The 19,608-nt window shown below is 40.6% G+C and overlaps 1 protein-coding gene across 7 annotated transcripts in view; it reads right to left on the reverse strand.

Moving 5' to 3' along the window:
• Positions 285 to 19,608, reverse strand: part of GRIN2A (glutamate ionotropic receptor NMDA type subunit 2A) — a 429,505-nt gene continuing 410,181 nt past the window's right edge. For 4 of the 7 annotated variants that reach the window (NM_000833.5, NM_001134407.3, XM_047433993.1 and 1 more), the window contains 2 exons: positions 15,732 to 15,970; positions 289 to 11,829 (listed from right to left, as the gene is read on the reverse strand). In NM_000833.5, coding sequence (NP_000824.1) covers positions 10,030 to 11,829; positions 15,732 to 15,970 — 2,039 coding nt within the window. In that variant the 3' untranslated portion in view covers positions 289 to 10,029. Of the gene's footprint in view, positions 11,830 to 15,731; positions 15,971 to 19,608 lie in introns of all 7 variants that reach the window. The other 3 variants (NM_001134408.2, XM_047433994.1, XM_017023173.2) reach the window with 1 other exon arrangement.

Below are 19,608 nucleotides of genomic sequence, written 5' to 3' on the forward strand. Positions count from 1 at the left end.
GGTTGTTTAAAGGAGCCTCGCATTTCTTTCTTGCTCTCTCCTGTCATGTGACACACCGGCTCCTCTTCCCTTCCGTCATAACTAAAAGCTTCCTGAGGCTTCACCAGGAGCCAAGCAGATGCGGGTACCATGCTTGTACAGCCTGCAGAACAATGAGATAAATGAACCTCTTTTCTTTATAAATTATCCAGCCTCAGGTGTTCCTTTATAGCAATGCAAAACAGACTAACACAGTGATGCTTACAACAGCAGCAACAATGACAACAACAAAGACCACAACTCAATTTCTCATTTTCATATCAATTGGCAGAAATTATCTTTATTAGAAAAATGAAATTTTCCTGTATTTACATTTTTACACCATATGACCGGGCACTTCTGTTGCCTCAGGAGTTATATACATATCAGTTTGCACACGAATTTCAATCCCCATTCCTTAAAACAGTTGATAACACATTGAACAAAATTAAAAGACATACTACAAGAAGACAACCATAGTATATACTTCCTCTATCATAGAAAGGTGTTAAGCAAACATATAATTTTGTAGCTATGCTTGGAAATATTTAATACACTTATTAGCACTTCCTCATGCAGTGGATTAAAACATGACAGATATAAACTGCTGCAGTTGATCAGTGAACATTAATTCCCAAATGAAGACCATTGCTTAGAGCAGACAGCTTGCTTTCAGCTCCACCATACAAGACATCAAGTCAGTTCTGATGTGGGTTTTGGATTCTGTTTGAATGTAGCTGTGAATAGAAACCCTCTGCATATGGAGTTCAATCCTAGCCTTGTTGGGTTAAAAATGGACTCAGACATAAACCTGGATAGCTGCTTAATTCAATAACTTTCTTGCAGGCAATGACCAGCTTGTGTATTATGCAACAAGTCATATTATTAATACGTGAGTGAAAAATGAATCATTTATCCTCTTTGAGAAGGCCATTATTTATAATTTTTATGATCTAATTCTTATTCAAGCTACCAAGAAACTCACCTTATTCTTTCTGAACATTCAGCTTGAAATATATATACTATACATAAACATATACACATAAACATTCTGGGGTGATATAAACTATGGTGAATTCTGCCAATTAATTCAGCAGGTTTATGCTTTTAAATTTGTTTTGGCAGGGGAATGAACAAGATTAAGATTCATAGTTAAAAACAACTGGTAAAGAAATCTTTGGGGACCCTCAGGTTTGGAAGGCATCTGAGCCACATCTAACTATGTCACTGCTGTGTCAAGCAGTTTTCTGAATTTTCTATGAAAATGTTATTCTTGAACTTATATCTTAAGTAGGCAATTAGCATCCCTTCCCAGTGAAAAATTTGGGGAACATGAATGTTAAAAGTTCCACTTTCATCTTTTCAAATTCATCAAAAATTTCAAACAAGATCACCTGGATTTGGCTCAAATTAGAGGCCTGAATCTTTTGTTTTTAAACTGAAACATTTACGTAAGTGGTCATGGCCCCAGAGCTTTTCTACAAACTTAATAAACTAAAGATTTAAAAAAATTTAAAAAAGATTTTAAAAGTCAATACTGTTCATTCACTTGAATTAGCTTGACTGAGAACAGAAATAATTAAATAAGTCTTAGATGGCTAATGTAGAAACTTCGATTGAATTCAAAAGGCTATGATTGTTTTTCATGGAAAAAAAAAGACAATGTTTTCGTATTTCTGGATCTTCGCTCTTTGCTCAGTTATCAATAGTCTTTGATTTGAGCCCTTTAAAACTTGAAACAGCAAAATGTCAGATCAATGGGAAGCATTTAAAATGCCAAAGACAAACTCATGTTTGCTGGAGAACAATTAACCTCATTAATTTGAAAGGCAGCTGTGGTATTGGCTATGAGTTATGTTAATATCCTATTGAAGGTTCATCTTAAATCTTTCCTAAAGGTGTGAAAGAGAATTAACTGGAAGAGGTCATGACCCAGGGCTAATGAAGAATGTTCTAGGATTGCAAAAATGCAAACTCATTGTTTCACTGACATAGTAAGTAAGAGAATTATGAGTGATAATCTCAGTTTTGTCTTCTTCGTTTCTGCAGACCGCTGACACTTTATCTGAGGAAGTTAATCTGAGGAATGACTTCATTTTAAGCAATTTAGTTCTGGTTCCCTGGAGAGTTGCATGCTTTGAAATACAACCCCCAGAGAAGAAATGCTATTGGTCAAATCGTTCTTTGGAGTGCTCCATTTCTGCATAGCTCAACATTCCAAGGAGAACATGGTCACGCACTTGTAGACCCAACAACAGGATCTCCAAATAACAAATAATAATCTTTCTGTCTTAAAAGGCTTTTTACTGCCAGCTTGAAAGATGAAAACAGCTGAGAAATTTTTCTCATAGACTAGCACTTAACTTGCATTAAGTTAGCTAACTCTCCAGAGAATTCATGGAGACTCCCAGAAAGACATTCCTTCAAATCCCCGCTAGTGTCCTCATCCATCAAATGGGCCTAATGCACCCCTCACCTCTCAGTAAATATAAATGCCAGGAAAGAAATGTGGCTTAGACCATGGAGAGGGGGGAATGCAGGAAAGGCAGTGTGTGCTCAGGGGCATGCCTGCAGGATATGTTAAACATTAGGCCATTCTGGGTACCTATAAAGCCCGGTGGAAGCGTTCCAGTTCAACACTCTTCAGTGGGACAGAATAACCGTCATTATCCTAATGCTAAGTGAGCCGGGAATTATCTCTAAGACAATTTGGAAAAGAAAAAAAAAAAGGAACAGACCAAGAAGGAAAACAACAACAACATTTTAATAGCTGGTCCTCAATCATTCTGACTACCAAAGCTCTCCATCATTCATGCAGAAACTCTATTTCCTATTCCCTGTCCCACCTCTGAAACTCATTCCATCTGCCTGGCAAAGATAACCAAACATAGACATGAAATAGGAGGAATAGTCAACTTGCAAATAATATCACCTCTTTGAACATGGGTCACAATATTTAGGAGGACTTTAATGGAGGGTCACATGGCTGTGTGTGTGTGTGTGCATACCCACACACATGAGAGCATGTACTATGTATATATGTTTAATGGAATTAGCCCTGATGTTGACTGATAAAAAGATGAGACATTAGGAAAGAGATATTTAAGATTAGGCACATGCTAAGTAGAGAAAATAACTCCCCAGAAATTTTTTTAAATGCTAAGTGCAAGCATATGAAAGGGAGACACAAACAGTGTTCAAGTCTCAGAAGGAACTATGAACAGAGGTGAGATCCCCAGAAGTTCTCCATACACACAGATCAGGCAATGAGGGGTAAGACCCTAACAGACTTCCCTGTCACAGAGGCTGATACTCAAGGGTATATGCCCAGGAACCTCAAAAGAGCACACCTCTCTTTCTGACTTCTATTCTGACCTCCCTGGAGGAGACCAGGCACTTTGAAAATATGTCTAACGTTAGGGATTTACTAGCTAATTCTAGTTGCTGACGAGGTTGAGAAAAACCTGAGCCTCAGTTTCCTTATCTGTAAAATGGGAGCAATCATATTTATATCTTAAGGTTGTTTTGAGGATCACATTCTAGGATATGCCTAGAATATCGCCTACACTCAATTTAGATATATTTTGATATTTTCAAATTCAGGTGCAGATCCATGGCAAGTACTTGCGATAAGCAGAAAATGTAACATTCCAAGAATGCACAGAATGGGATAGACAGAGTGACAAAAGCTCCCTCTCCACCTCGCCATCCTTCCTGAAATACACCTCTATTCCTTTTGCCATCTCTTTGCCCCGTTTTCTCTCTAGGGAACCTGATGCTTTCTGTCAGCCACAGCAGTAGGCACTTGGAACTTGATAAAGAATTTTCCCTCTATGCTTCCCTGATACATTCATACCCTGGTGTATCAGAAGGGTTCTTCAAATGTCAAAAACAAAACCAAACAAAAAAGCTTTAGGGAAATGCTTCGTCTTTTTACATCATGGTCTATTTTCTAATCCTTTGGGGAATTTTTTCAACCTTTTCTTGAGGCACATGTCATAATGCAAGGCTGGGAGGAGGCATGATTTGGCAAGGACTGGAGAACTGGTTGGAACCAGACAAAAGCCTTCCTGTGCAAAAATGTAGGAGTGTGAGTGTGTTCACCTGGTTAGCAGCTCCTGGGTCTCCTAAGTCCATTATTTGAAGATTAAAATAAATCAACTGCATTTCCGGGACCACTAACTCTATTCTCCGGAGTTACTTAAAGGTTTAGGGAAGGACTTTTTTTTTTTTTTTAAAAAAGGTATGCTCATAGAATCAGATTATTTTTTTTTTCCTGGCTACAACTTTAGTTGTCATTTCTAATTTTTGCTGTTTAGTCTCTGTTTGCATTGCATGGGTCCTTGGTTATCCTTTGTATTAGAGAACTGAACTTCTAAACCATAAGCTACTTATGGGAAGAGACTATATTTTCTATTTATTTTGCATCCCCTCCCCCACAATCCCAAACTGGCTTTCAAAATAAAGTGGACATTCAGTGAAGTCCTATTAGCTGGTCAATGTGCTTGGTTCTTCCTCAATGCATGATACATAGACCTCAATTATTTCAATGGTCACTGCCAGCCTTTTATCTTCAGTTTGAGGTTTTAAACAATATCCCTGTTGATTTTTCCTAAGGAGACGGTCTCTGAGAAAAGTTTTCTCTTCTAGGAACTTTAAGACAGGGATTGTGAGGGAGTTTAAAGGAAAACCAAATTCAAAGAAGCATGGGTAGGTCTTTCTGGGGCAAGTGGCAAAAACAAAAAACAAAACAAAACAAAAACCAGGGCAGCCTTATGGGGATCTCTGGCTCTTATTCCAGAGCTACTCAGGAGTTTCCCCTTGAAAGAAACCTAGAAATAAGTCAGCCCGGTCAGAGAATCGAGCCAGAAATTGAACCATGTCTTGGATCTAATCCTCGCTCTGATACTCTCTAACTTGATGATCTTAAACAGGCAACTGCCCATTTGTAAACTTCATTTTTCTCATCTCTCCTCCCCTTCTCCTAACTTTTGGTGTGGTTCTACGAACTCTATTTTTCTAAGACCCTTCTGGGCAGGCACTTCTAGCTAATACTATACTGAAAGTACTGCTGGGCACAGAAAGAGTGCAGGTGAGGAAAGAGGATAAGGAATTTAAATAGGAAATCTATGCCCTTTGATGTGTTTAAGGAAATCACACACAAGTCCATATCGGCATTGTCTTCAGAAGCAAATGCGAGCAGAATATATTCTATACCCCTCATCCCAGAGTTTTGTTTTTTAAAGAAGGGGCCAAGAACGCCAACACCCATATTCTACTTAGGCTCTGTCATCCTCCCTACAACTGAGATTAAAAAAATATAGTGCCCTCTCTACAGAAATATCCTCCCATAAAAATAACCAGAATGGGTTTTCCATGTGTTAATACCATCATCACCATTTAATTTTTAACATAAACTTTACAATATGTACAATTTTATTTGGATAATACACTTACGTGTGAATTGTAGAAATCAAGCATGTATATTATATACATGTGTACACAAGCAGTTGTATTCACAGGATAAGTGCATTTGATCATCTCTGATCTATATCAAGTGGCAAGCTGACCTCATCTGATACAATTAGATATGAACACAGTACAATGTATAGGGATTGAATGGGAAACAGTAACTGCATATTGGGAGAACTTTTCAAGTATAGACCCCACAGCACTTTCAACCCTGTTCACCAAAAAGAGATGGGGTATCTGGAAAGGTCTAATTTTGTCTCCAGTGAAAATAAACAGTACTTTTGGAAGGAAAATTGCCTTTACATAGAACCCTTCACTCATTAAATATCAAGCAACACATTTAGCTTCCACCTACTCAAACTTCTTTTTCTTTGAGTCCAATCATGTCTACTATAGCCATGGTTAATACAAACAGGCTCCATTTCAGAAACAACGCATGTCCCCTTTTCAAGGATTCATGCACAACAGCTATGCACAAAGAAACAGTACAGGAATGTGCATAATGTTAACGAATATATCCAGCTCCTCTGTAAGGTATTTAGAGTTCTCAAATTAGTGTTTATTTAGGTCTTAAACCGCAAGGGATTTCAGTACAAGGTACTTATTTATATGACAACTGATTATTAAAGCTGCACTTTTTAGATTTAAAGGAGATAAATTTTTAATCACCATTTAATTAACATCAACATTTTTTTTCTTTTTCATTAGCAATTCTATTTGCAAATAATTCAGGGCATTTGTCATTTCCTGTGAAGGATGCAGAATATTAAATACACATCAGTGGTCGACATAGCAAATAGAATAAACAATGTGTGACTATATGACAGCTGTGGATCTTTTGACTAATTAACTGCCTTGGCTAGAGTCCCATTTAAGTGAAACTATTTCATTTGTAAACAAGGTGTAATTTTCTATTTTTCTCCCCAGAAAATAAGCGTGAAATGATTTGACAGATTTTGCTGCAATGTGTGAATTTTAATGCTTTCACCAGAAAAACTAAATACTCAGACTCTCTGGCATCCTGTGAATCAGGGAAGAGAAAATCAAGAGTAATCCGTGGATGCCCAGTCATGGTGCTGGCTAAAATAACGCAGAGAGATTTGCAGAGGACATAACAGTAATGAGTGGTGAGATTGTGAGATTATAATCCTGCAAGTCTCTCTGGCAGAAAGATAGACCTATAGGGACTTGCCAGCTCAGAGCATTGAAACCATAAGTGGCCTAAGAACCTGCAGATGTAAGGATGATGAAACCCATTTTCCAGAAGCACAAAGGTTTCTCAAGTACAGTTTATGCTCTAGAAGACTCTCTTACCCAGAGTATTTTAAATTGGTTGCATGTGCGTGCTATTACCCATGGACAGAGACCCAACCGTTTGCATTCAAGTGTACCTATCTGAGGACTAGTTGGGTCCTTCTCAAGTGGGGAAAACCAATTAGAATTAACAAAATATCATTATGGATGCCAGCTCTGACTTAAGCCAGCTGAAACTCAGGCATTTGTGTTCAGAAATTTGGGCTCCTTGACATCAACAAATCTAAGAACTCAGAGCTGGGATATGTTACGGGAATCTTCTGTGATAGATCTATAGTCTCAGGCTTCCAGGCTTCCTATTTAATTCTTGTTACTTCTCATACTGTGGGTTCCATTTACCACTGGACGTTACATTCCTGATATTCTTTTTGCAAAGACTGAACTGACTTAGATGACCTTTGAATAACTCTACATCTTTTCCTTAGAAATTGACCATCTGATCAGTAGTTGATTTTTTTTTTTTTTTTTTTTTTTTGCTTGGGATCATCACATTGAAGAGTCATTGAATTAGTAGAGAAGGGATACCATAAACTTTGTGTAGCATAACATTTCTGATTATTTATTTGAAAAAACACTTCGGTCAGTGAAAAGAATATATATTTTTTTCACAACATTACTGTTGATTCTTCCAAAGGCCACGTTTTCAGTTTCTTTATCCAGAGATGTATGGGGTTAATAGCAGAAATAATGCTGCTGTTAGGGGAAGGCTTTCTGACCGATGAAGTCAGTCCAAGTATAACTCTCACTCTCCCTGGAGGTCTCTGTGGCATTTGGCAGCCCCCTGGGTTTAGAGGACACCAGAGGAAGACAGAAAGCCTCTTTGGCTTGACGACAAATCACTCTTCTGTATTCTGGGAAGACTTTTTAATTCATTCATGTCAAAACATCCCAGACTCATGAGGAAATGGAGGCGATCCTTGCTGGGGTGGATTAAGGTCTGGAATGCACTGGAAGGGCAGAAGGTAGAAAGGGCTAAAAGGCTACACAGTCATGGAGATTCAGATTTAGGATCAGATGTTGGGGTGACTATTCTGGGCCCTTCGATCCAGGCTTCTCCATGGCTGGGTCTTGGGGCAGCAGAGGTACAGCATCCGGGAAATAAAATGTCATTTTCAAGCACATGCATCCCCAGCACCTAGTCAGCCCCTTCTGCCTTTCAAAAATGAAAGGAAGCTCCTCTCACCCACTGCCTCCCTCTGTCTCCCTATGATTGACCCTGAAATTTATTGCAACCACTTTTCATTATAGGAACACTGTAGGTCAGGTGTACTTTCCCAAAGATGGAGCTATTCCATGCATCCTTGAGCTTTAAGGGAATCATCCCTGACACTTGCCCACATGCAAGAAAATAATACTTACAAAACAGAACGCACACCATGAGGAGAAGAAATGGGATAATTTTTCAACCTGCCACTTTATCCCTTTCTTCAAGAATGTAAAGCAGAATGCAGGAGGAAACCAGGAAATGGCCAGGCGAGTCTACATTAGCTTAGTGTTTCCGTAATGGCCCAAAACAGACTGAGGTCTTCTGCAAACACTGATGGCTAGTTATCCCAAATACTTCAAAAATATTCATGTACATGAAATACACTAATTAACAGAGTAGAACTATATAAAAGGTTTAGTTAATATTATTTGCTGGTTTTATGATATTTAATTTTTAAACTAGAAAATCCTGATCTGAGAAAGTGTCATAACATAGCAACTATCTTGTCGGGGGCACTTGTTTTTGTGGCAGGCACTGTGCTAACAGGCTCCCCATGCATAAGTATTCCCCTCTCTGTCTCTAACTTAAAAAAAAAATGGATATCATTTCATGTCATATATGCACAGGTTTGAGGAGAATAAGAATGGGATAATGCAGGCGACTCAGAAATGACAAATACTTTGAGGAATTTTTCCTACATCTCTGTTGGTGCTATGAAGTGGTTTGCCACCAACAGAGAGAATAACTCAGAAGGGAGAAATTGCTTGTCTCACTAAACTGTATCCACAGTTTGGAGGATACTCAGGGTAGATCCAAGAGTGCCTCGTGTTTTGAAGGCTTTTGATTTGAGGAGTTTGGGGTGGAAGTGAGTGTCCAACAGAATTTCTGGATGTGAAGGAAGATAAACCTAAAACCATGCTAGCCTTCGGCAGACAGATGGCATTGTACTTCTTACAGATCACAGTACACATACGGCTGTTGGTGCATGTCACCACATTAACAACTCTGGGAAGAGCGATACACAGCTAATTGGACACCACCATGGCTGTTTGGAAACGGAACGAGTTATGGTTACTCTGGGAGGGAAGGGGTAACAGATACTATACAACCCTGAGTCATCACCAGAAGGGAGGAAATGCAAACTTACGTACATAGGCGTCTTCGGGATAAACTACAATGGCCACTGTGTCACAGACAGAAGATCCACACTTAGATCTCGGAGACATAAATGTGTTAGTTTATGCAGCTCTGAACAAGACCATCGAAGCCGAGGGTGAGAGAAACACACATCAACATCCAAAGAGATTCCTGTAGCTCTCCCCACCTGAGGGTCCCTCGGGCCTTTGGCTCCAGATGTGTCTTGGAAATGAACTATAATGAAGGTAGCACAGTCATCACGAACACACTGATTTGCTATTCTTTAGGGGAGCCTGGAGTTCTTGGGGTGAGCCTGGGCTGTGATGGAAGGCATAACAAGAAAGCTGAAACTGTTACGAGCCAAACTTCCTAATCTCTTGCACATGTCAATCGCACTACAGTGCAGATGCATTCTTAACTGTTTTTATTTTGTCTGTGTCAGGTTTACATGCACACCATATTGCTTATTCTGTATTAGAGAAACCATTAGGCATTTCTGATGAGAAAATTACATGGTGGGCTGACCTTAATGGAATTTGGAATATAGGAAATCATAACATCACCATTGGCATCCAATGCATCATTATTGCCAACATACCCAGTAGGCATGTCCCGGAGACTTGCCCTTATGTAGTTAGTTATTTTTGGTTAAGGACTCACCTATCTGGTGTCTGCCATGCTCAGCACACACCTCACAAGATTCCTTGAGTGGAAGATTATGGCATGAAGCCGTGTGCAAAAGAGCCAACAACAACAACAACAAAATACCTCCCTACATCTTCTTCCTCTTAGCAGGGCACTATTGGACATCCAACATTTACCCTCCAGAACATTGGCCATTACGTATATTTCCCTATAGATAAAACATTAATGGAAGATTTTTAAACATCAGATTCGATACTAGGCATTTTCTTGTACACGCGTCTATTGCTGCAGGAATTTAAAACCCTGGGGGTAGAGTACATATTATTCTTATTTGCAGCATAAGGCATAACATGCTCCGAAATATACACATCATTGTGGCCCCGACTGTCCCTGGAACAGTACGATGCCGTTGACCTCAAGGACGACCGAAGATAGCTGTCATTCACCGCCTGGGATGGCAACGAGTGTTTGTAAGGGTCCGAGGGGCATCTCCCAATAACCAAGCGTTGGTCATCCCTGTGGGAGTGGAGGAAAGGGTTATCGGAGGTGTGGTCTGGCAAGAGAGACTTGCTCCTCTTGCTGTCCTCCAGACCTTGGGGGAAAAGGGAGCTTTTTTTCCCCGAGAGTTTGCTTGAGGGGACACTAAACAGGCTGCCGTAAAAATTTCCCTCCAGAAGCCGTTCCCTGTCCTTGAGGCTTATGCTCCGGGAGGGCCTGCTAAGGTCTAGCTCCCTAGGTTTGTCGACAATGTTATCGTAGGAATGCTGACGGCTAATCCTTAGCTTGTTCTTTTGTAATTGAAGGGCATTGTTCTGTGCCCAGTCCTGCTGGTAGACCTGCTCCCCGGTGGCTGGGTTACCTGTCTCCTGAAGCATCTGGTCTTCATCGATGTCATAGAGGTTCCCCATCCGCAGGCAGGCATCGCACTTGAAGGGGGACCTCATGGTGAAGTGGCCTGAATAGGTGGGCATGTTGGAAAGGCAGCTTCTGCAGTGCGTGGAGTTCTGCCGGTATCGCTCGCTGGTCTCACTGTGCGGGGAACCCTTGTCTTTCAAGGTGAAGTGCTTGGAGTAGAGTTTATACTGGTCGTTGTTGGAAAGCCCCTCTTCATTATGCAAGGGGTTCCGGTTCATTGGCAGCGTGGAGTCCCCCTTGCGGAAGTTTTCACTGGGATCCTGGTAGGGGTCCGGGAAGTCCACGTTCTCGGGCAGGGTCACATTTTCAACAAACTGGGGTGGATCTAAGTGGAAACCAGGCTCCTTCTCACCATCTATAGTGTAGATCTTGTCTCTAGGGGAGCTTGATTTGGTTTTCAGGTAGGTGCGCTCGACCTCACTACAGTCCTTGGGGTATTTGGAGGCCACTGACCTTTTAAAGTTGTCCTTGGTTTTGTGGTTCTTACTGTTGTCAGGTTCCCTGTGGCACGTGGCCCGATTTGACGTTTCTGAAATGTCAGAGTGGGCCATCTCTTCTGGAAGATACCTAGGGCTCTTTAGGGAGTGGGTCCTATTCTCTGCTGTTGCCTCATCCCTCTGGGAGACTGGATTCTGGGATAGTGAATCCTGGCGTATGGAATCCACGGATTTCTTCCACAGCTGCCGGGGTCTAGAGTTCGCTTTGGATTCTGTGCTCACGGCCACCTCCACCGTGTTAGGGTTGGACTCATTGAGAGTAAGAGGATGTTGTCCCTGGAATACATAGTTATTGAGGTTATCCTTCTGCCGGTTGGCCACAAATGTTTGGAGTTCGTTCATGTTGTCTCCAAAAATGCTCTCTTTCCCCTGAAAGGACCTGTTGTCTGAGTACATCAAATTCCCCTTATCTGAAACCATGTCCATGATGAGGGAACCTCTTTGGATGAAGTCAGCAGCTCTTTTGGGTGAGTCCATTCTTGAGGAGTTCATGTTGGACATGCTGGAAATGTTTTTGGCTGACCGGAGGAGTTTTAACATGTTGCTCTGGGATCCCGTCAGATTGAAGTCTGGAGACTTCTTCTTTTCTTCAATGTGCACTCCATGAATGCAGCTGTAGATGCCCTGTAGGGGAGCAACATAAAGCACTGTCAGCAGCAGCAGCAGTGAACATGAAACCACTTTGCACTTGAACTTTACCTGCAAAGGTGAGATTTGCACTTCTTGCAGGAGCCCTGGAGAAACAGCAAAATTCAGTCTGAATCCTGATAATGTCTCTTAAAGGTATGAGACAAGTTGCAAAGCATAGGGTTTATCTTATTGCTCTGGCTCAAGATTAGCTGACACCTTTGCAAAGAGTCACACATGGAGTTTGAGAAAAGGTATCAACCGATGCTCATACAACTGTCAATGCCTCAGTGTCTCCAAAGTGGCATATAAGAACAGATAACTGAGCCTCCCAGCACCCGGGTCACCAATCCAAGCTTTCATTAAAGTTTCCCAGCATCATCTTTGAAAGTTTAGGCACCAGAGAGTTAACTACTGACAAACACAGTCAGCATGAAAGGATCATCCATTGTTAATTCTTTTCTGGAATTACCCCTACTCTTATGCAAAAGCTAACAATCAAAGAATGTGTCCTAAGTGGCCAATCAGAAAATCTCTTCTCCATGCACACATTGATTCATCTAAAGGAAGGCATGAAATTCATGTGAGGCTCATCATACTCTTTGAGGGGGGGATAGATGTGGATGCTTGGATAGAAGGAGTTGCAGACTTACCATCATGTGGGGGTGTGAGCCTATCAGTGAAGCCATTGCAGTGAAAAGTAGAGCCCAAGAGATAGAGAAAGACATGGTTTAAACCCCTGGAGCCACTCCCTTGAACTTTTTTACTTAATCGACTCAATCTATTCCTTGTGTGTTTGTTTGTGTGTGAGTCTATTCAATGTAGTTAGAACTGGGTTTTAGTTACTAGTCACAGTGAAGAGTTCTGATGACACAGTGACACCGCCTTTAAATCCATCCAGGGAACTGAATGACTTAAGGGCTCCTGGGCAGCCCAAATACAAGCACCTCCATCTATATGTCTTCTCATTTTCTACTCTTTCTTTCTTTTAGAAAACAACTGTTTACGTTCACTTAAAAGTAGCTGTTCAACTGTTATCAAGGGAAGAGCCCTTGATTCCTACCACAATAACAGGCAAAAGGACGTCTGGAACATTTTGATCTGTGGCTTCCCCTGCTTCTCCCCACTCCTACCCCAGATTTCAGCAGCCGTACCTACAGGAAACAGTCAGATCAAGGCTGCAGGATTTGACCTGGTCTTCCCAAGGCTGACAGGGAGCCAAACTATGAAGGGGTTTGTAGGGCAGAATTGGCAGTGGCTGCTGACTTTGGCATAAACTACAGGAAAGTAAGTGTGATTAACTGTGGACTCTGATAATGGTGGCTCCATCGGTCCCCCATGGTGGGGACAAGCTCACCCTGCAGGGATGCTCACGGAACTGTGACAGCCTCAACTCATTTTCACTGCTACATTTTTCTTGTAGTAGACAGTCTCTCCACTCCAGCCTTCAAGGAACCGTAAACACAAAAGCCTACAGTTGCAAGTTTGAGCTGCTCTTTCTCTGATCCTCTCCACCCCAGGCTTCATGGTTGGTGAAGGCCCCCTGAGGCTCAGGGCACTGGCATTACATCCTTTCCTGCATTCCTGCAAACTTATCTGTGGTCTCCTTCTATATATAATGTGTGGTTGGCTGTTTGTCCTGCCACAAAATAACATCTGCCCCTGCCATCACTGCTTCCAGAGCTGCTGGAGCATCCAGACTGTGGATGTGGAAATCTTACAAATGAGCCACTGCGCTCCAGCCTGGGCAACAGAGGGAGACTCCATCTCAAAAAAATAAATAAGTAAATAAATCAAATCAAATCAATCAATCAATCAATAAAAGCACATTGCTCCCATAAAACTTGGGGTCCTTCTCCCCTAGGGATGGAGAGGCCAAAGTTCAAATTCTAGATGATCAAGGGACTCCACCAACAATGCCTGCCCTGTGCTGCCCAGTTTGCCTTCCATTCCCATCCTTTGGAAAGGAAGATATGGATTTACTTCATTTCTTAAAATGTTGATAAATCAACTTGGCTTCCTTAGCAGTGTTTTAGATAGATAGAGGAAATGCTCTTCCAAAAACAAGCAAGATTTAGAAGTAAACGCAACAGTGTGCATTTGTTTGGTGCTAATCCCAGAATCATTTGGATATGAAAAGCCTTTGGTAATTGGCTGGGAGAATTAGCTTAAAGTTGGCATAATACCTAGCTCTATGCACGTACGTTGTTATTTTTAAGCAATCTATGTGTTTAGATGCCATCAAGCTAATTAGGAAATATGTATTTGCACAGAACCCGAGTTTGGAGTGCAAGTGAATGGAGAAAATAAATCTTCCTCACTAAACTAATGTGTACCTTCCGAATCTCCACAGTTCTTGAAACTAGCAAATGTTAAGAATATACAAATCTGTTTTAAAGCAATTAGTTAGCTTTCTCAGTAAACAATAGCATATAAAATTAGATTTTTATTTATTTATTTTTATTATTATACTTTAAGTTCTAGGGTACATGTGCACAACGTGCAGGTTTGTTACATATGTATACATGTGCTGTGTTGGTTTGCTGCAATTAGATGTTTTTAACCAAAGAGTTTTCACCATTTTTCAAATCCTAATTAATGAAGTTCTTCCAAGGCAAAAAAACAAACAAAAACAAAAAAAAACACAAACAAAACAAAAAAACAAACAAAAAAACAAGGTGGGCAAATAAGAGAGATGAGTGGATAAATAGATGGATGCATAGATGGCTGAAACGAATGAATGGACATATAGATAAGAAGGTAGATACATATGTATTTTGTGCTGTTGTTTATGTTGAGTTGAAGGTAAACTTTGTTTTCTGCTTGATACGTGTGCATTTTCTTCTGTTACTTTACACCTGTGTTTCCTTTCATGTGCTATTGCATTCCACATGCTCTTTGTGTTTTATTAGATGTGTATACATATTCCATAGCATTGCAAGTAGATTTTGTTTTGTTGGGCATGTTCTGTTACAATGCATACACAAATTGTAACATCTTGCATAGCAGCATTAGTAGTGTTATACAGCATACCTGGGTGCTAGTGATGGGAGCCACAGGCTGGCTCTGTCTGGCCCAGTGTTTTTAAATTTTTTTTTATTTTTTGTTTTTATTTTTTTGTGAGACGGAGTCTCGCTCTTTCACCCAGGCTGGAGCTGGAGTTCAGTGGCGCTATCTTGGCTCACTGCAAGCTCCGCTTCCCGGGTTCACGCCATTCTCCTGCCTCAGCCTCCGGGGTAGCTGGGACTACAGGCGCCCGGCTAATTTTTTGTGTTTTTAGTAGAGAAGGGGGGGGTCTCACCGTGTTAGCCAGGATGGTCTCGATCTCCTGACCTCGTGATCCGCCCGCCTGGGCCTCCCAAAGTGCTGGGATTATAGGCATGAGCCACCGTGCCCGGCCAAAAAATTTTTACATGGAATTAGTTACTAATATTTAAAAATGGAAAGGTTTCTAACAAAATCAGATGACATTTTCTCTTTTTAAAAAACTAGAAGACCTGATAATATTGACTCTACATTCCCATAAGACAATACTCAGCAGGAGTTGAGGATGGCTGCCACGCTACTGGTGAGGTAAACATCATGCAATTGGCCACAGTCCTCAGTATTCCCTATCGTTCTCTCACTTTGATACTGAGGTTTAGCTGCCGTTTCACGTCATCTGTGCTATTTTTCTCATGTCCCGCCTGCTGCACCCACTCCCGTTTCCTTTCTGCCTTCCTTAGTCATCTAAGTTTGCAACACCTGGCTTATGAATGCACAAAATCTGGATGCTCTTGTGACATGCCCAAGAAAGGCTGGTAAGGGGAGGAAGTGCAGACCCCACTGAGACATCAAGAACCCAAGCGCTTTTCTAAACCTGCTTGCAGTGCAAGAAAGTAGCCACCCGGTGTACTGACCCTGCTGATGGAGAAGAGCAACCCAGGCCGGTCGGAGCACACGCCCGTGAAACAGAAGCGCAGCTTCCAGTAGAAGAGGTGCTCCCAGATGAAGGTGATGAGGCTAAGGGCCATGGCGGCAGCCAGCATGTAGAATACGCCCGCCATGTTGTCAATGTCCAGCTGGCTGCTCATCACCTCGTTCTTCTCGTTGTGGCAGATCCCAGTGAGCCACAGGGTCTCCAGCTCCTCCATCTCACCTGGACAGATCACAACATTCACAGGCAGTGAGGACCAGAACATGCACTTTGGGGCAGACGCTTCTGGGTTTGGAACAGACGATGTGCAACTCACAGCTATGTAACCTTAAGACAAGTTTCTGAGTTTGCTGGGTTTCCATTTGCTCACTTCTTGAGTGAAGATAATAATGATTACATAGCCTACCTAATATTGTTGCAGTGAGGACAAAATTTATATATAAAAATAGAGAATATAATATATATATAGAGAGAGAGTATAGCAAACTTATTCTCTATTAATATGTATATATATTATATATTATATACATATATAATATATATAACTTAGCACAGTTCCTGGTTTTGTTTTTTGGAGTTTTGTCTTTTTTTTTTTTTTTTTTTTGGTCATTATTATGTTTTTCTGACCTTGCTTTCCCTTACCCCTGCCCCCAATACCCACCCAAGCTTGGAACAAGACATGGGAATAAAAGGGCAGAACGTGACAATAGAAAGACTTCATTGCAATTCTGACTTGATCATCTGCTAGCTGCATGGCCTCGGAGCTACAGTTATCCTGTCTGTGAAATAGGCATAATAATAGAACATACTTCCTAGAGTCGCCATGAGGATTGAATGAGATGAGAATGTATAAAATCCCTAAAGGACCCAGATCATAGTAAGTTTTCATAAGCAGTATGTTTGCTACTATTTACTGTTGTGAAGAAAATGCCTAACACAGTGCCTGGCCTGTGGCAATCCTCAAATATGTGTGTTTCTTTTTCTCTCTCTCTTTAGAACATTCAGGATTACTTAGAAAAGTCACACATGAGCAGCATACTTAGGGCACAAAACTTTAATTGAAAAGAGACATCCAGCTGGCTCTGAATGGCCCCTTGCAAACTAAACTATACCCACCCCCCAACTTCAGTAGGCAATTAAAGAACCAGGTGGTTTTTTCCAATGGGGGGAAGAAAAGAGTAGGCATGCTTAGAATTATTCTGTCCCTCTTTTATGTGCATTTTATCCTGTTGCCATTTAGGAGAAAATTCTCTGATCTATATGTCTAGCAATTATACTGTCTAGCAATTCACTAAACTATGGCACTTAGACTATGATTCAGCCTTTAAAAATGATCTTTCAAGGACAGTAAAAATCAAGATGTGTATGCTAAATGAAAAGTATGACTATATTTTATATGTATATACATGATCTCTAAGATGTAATGGGGACATGCAGAGAAAAATTAACGAAATACTCCAAATGTTTATATCAATTCTCTTTGAAGAAGTCAATCAAAATGATTTAATATTGGTCTTTTTTTAAGTTATGTGAAATTAGCATGTATTGTTTTTGGTTTGTTCTCACTCTTGAATGATATGGCTGAATATAAAAATCAAAGTTGACAATTATTTTTCCTTGACCTTTTGGAGATGTTAAATTTTCCTCTGATCTGGATGGCAGTTGTTGAAAAGTTGGCTAATCATCTAATTGTCGTTACTTTCTATGCAATCTATATTTTCTCTCTAGTTGCTTTTGAGAATTTCACTTTGTCTTTGGTGTGAAGTCTAGATGTGGGTTTGTTTTATTGGTTCGGCTCTGGACTTAGTACGATTCTTCAATCTGAATACTTAGAACTTTAGTTCTGGCAAAAATTCACCTGCTATGGCTTTGAATATTACTTCTCCCTATCATATCTTTTTTAAAAAGTTAATAGATTTTATTTTTTTAGAGTGGTTTTATAGTTACAGAAAAACTGAACAGAAAGTACAGAGAGTTCCCATATACTACCTCTCCCCGCTCCCTTCGGTTTTCCCTGTTAACATCTTGCATTAGTGTGGTACAGTTTTTACAGTTCATTTGGGTAAATACCTAGGAGCATTATTGCTAGATTATACAGTAAGTCTGTGTTTCAGCTTTGTAGGAAACTGCCAAACTTTCTTCCAAAGTGGCTGTACTATTTTGCACTCCCATCAACAATGAATGAGAGAGCTCCTGTTGCTCCAAGTCCTCACCACCCTTTTCATTGTCAGTGTTAGTGTTAGTGTTTGGGGTTTTAGCCACTCTCATAGGGATGTAGTGCTAGCTCATTATTTCAATTTGCAATTCCCTAATGGTATATAATAGTCCCATCTTTTTTTTTTTTTTTCCTGAAAACTTTAAAATACTGTGGAACTTTTCATTCTCTCCTCTAGGTTATTTACCTTGTTTTAATATTTGCATTCTTTTTTCTCTCTGTGCTGCATTTGGGTAATTTCCAATAGATGTATTTTCCCGTTAATTTATTCTTTTGTTGGTAATATTTAGCTTTATGTTTTAATTTTATTTATTTTAATTGTGATATTCATTTGGTTCTTTTACAGTTCTGCCTGTTCTTTTTATCATAATATCCCATCCTTTTGTTATATAGTTTGTTATATAAAGTTTAAAAGTTTTTAAAACTTTCATATATTTAATAATTTTAAACCTCTAGTCTTTCAGATTACTCCCCCCCACCCCCACCTTAGTTCTTGGGATTCTCATTCCTCTGTTTGCTGTGTGTTCTGACTCTCATGGTGGGTTACTTCCTTGTGACGTCTGTAACTTTTGACCATGAGCTAATCTTCTGCAGAATTATTTTCCCTCTAAGCCCCATGGGACTCCCAAGAACACTAGGCTACAGAAACATCCCTATAGAGAGTTTCTGGGTTTGCTTCTGCCATGGTTCCAGGAATTTTCAATGTATGAGTTTTTGTATGGAAAAATTTTTACTTTGATTACTACACCATTTAAGTAGCATACATTTGAACTCACATGCTCATTTGGGCTTTAATTTCTTACTGACAGCTTCAAACAGATGGTAAACCTCCTTGCATTTTCTTCACTTTGATGGACAGAGATTTTCCTAGTTTTCTTTTTACAGACTAAGTGACTCATTAAAGTTCTCAAATGTATTAACCAGAAAAAAAAGCATACATGTTAATGAGTTTTTTTTTAAAAAAATAGGAAATCCATCCCTTTCCAGTTCCTCACCCACAAAAATGGGTGCTGATCAATCGGTTGTGTAGGTAAAGGGATGAGAAGAGGGTATCTTGATTCAATTCCTTTTCTTCCAACAGCCTCCCATGCTTTCGCACAGTCACAAAGTCATGGGAGACTTTGAAATAATATCTCACTGTCCACCAACACTATCTCAAACTCATCCAGATTTCTCTGCCCACCATGTACCTCAGACCTGCACGGCTGCTTCCTCTTCTCACAAAAACACCAATGCCATCCCTTTGGAAATACAATGTGCTGTTGACGTCCCCCCTCCCTTTGGAGGTATTTTGTTTTGTTTTGTTGAGATGGGGTCTCACTACAGTCGCCCAGGCTGGAGTGCAGTGGTGCGATCATAACTCACTACAGTAGCAACTTCCTGGGCTCAGGTGATCCTCCCACCTCAGCCTCCGAAGTAGTTGGGACGACAGGCACATGCCACCATGCTGTGCTAATTTTTTGTATTTTTAGTAGAGACGAGGTTTCACCATCTTGCCCAGGCTGATGATCTCAAACTCCTGGGCTCAAGCAACCCACCTGGCTCAGCCTCCCAAAGTGCTAGGATTACAGGCGTGAGCCACCGTGCTCAGACCCTTTGGAGTCTGGGAGGACACAAAAATGGGTCTTCTCACTATGACTCATCA

This window comes from Homo sapiens, chromosome 16 (genome assembly GCF_000001405.40).
Source record: "Homo sapiens chromosome 16, GRCh38.p14 Primary Assembly".
Lineage (NCBI taxonomy): Eukaryota > Metazoa > Chordata > Mammalia > Primates > Hominidae > Homo > Homo sapiens.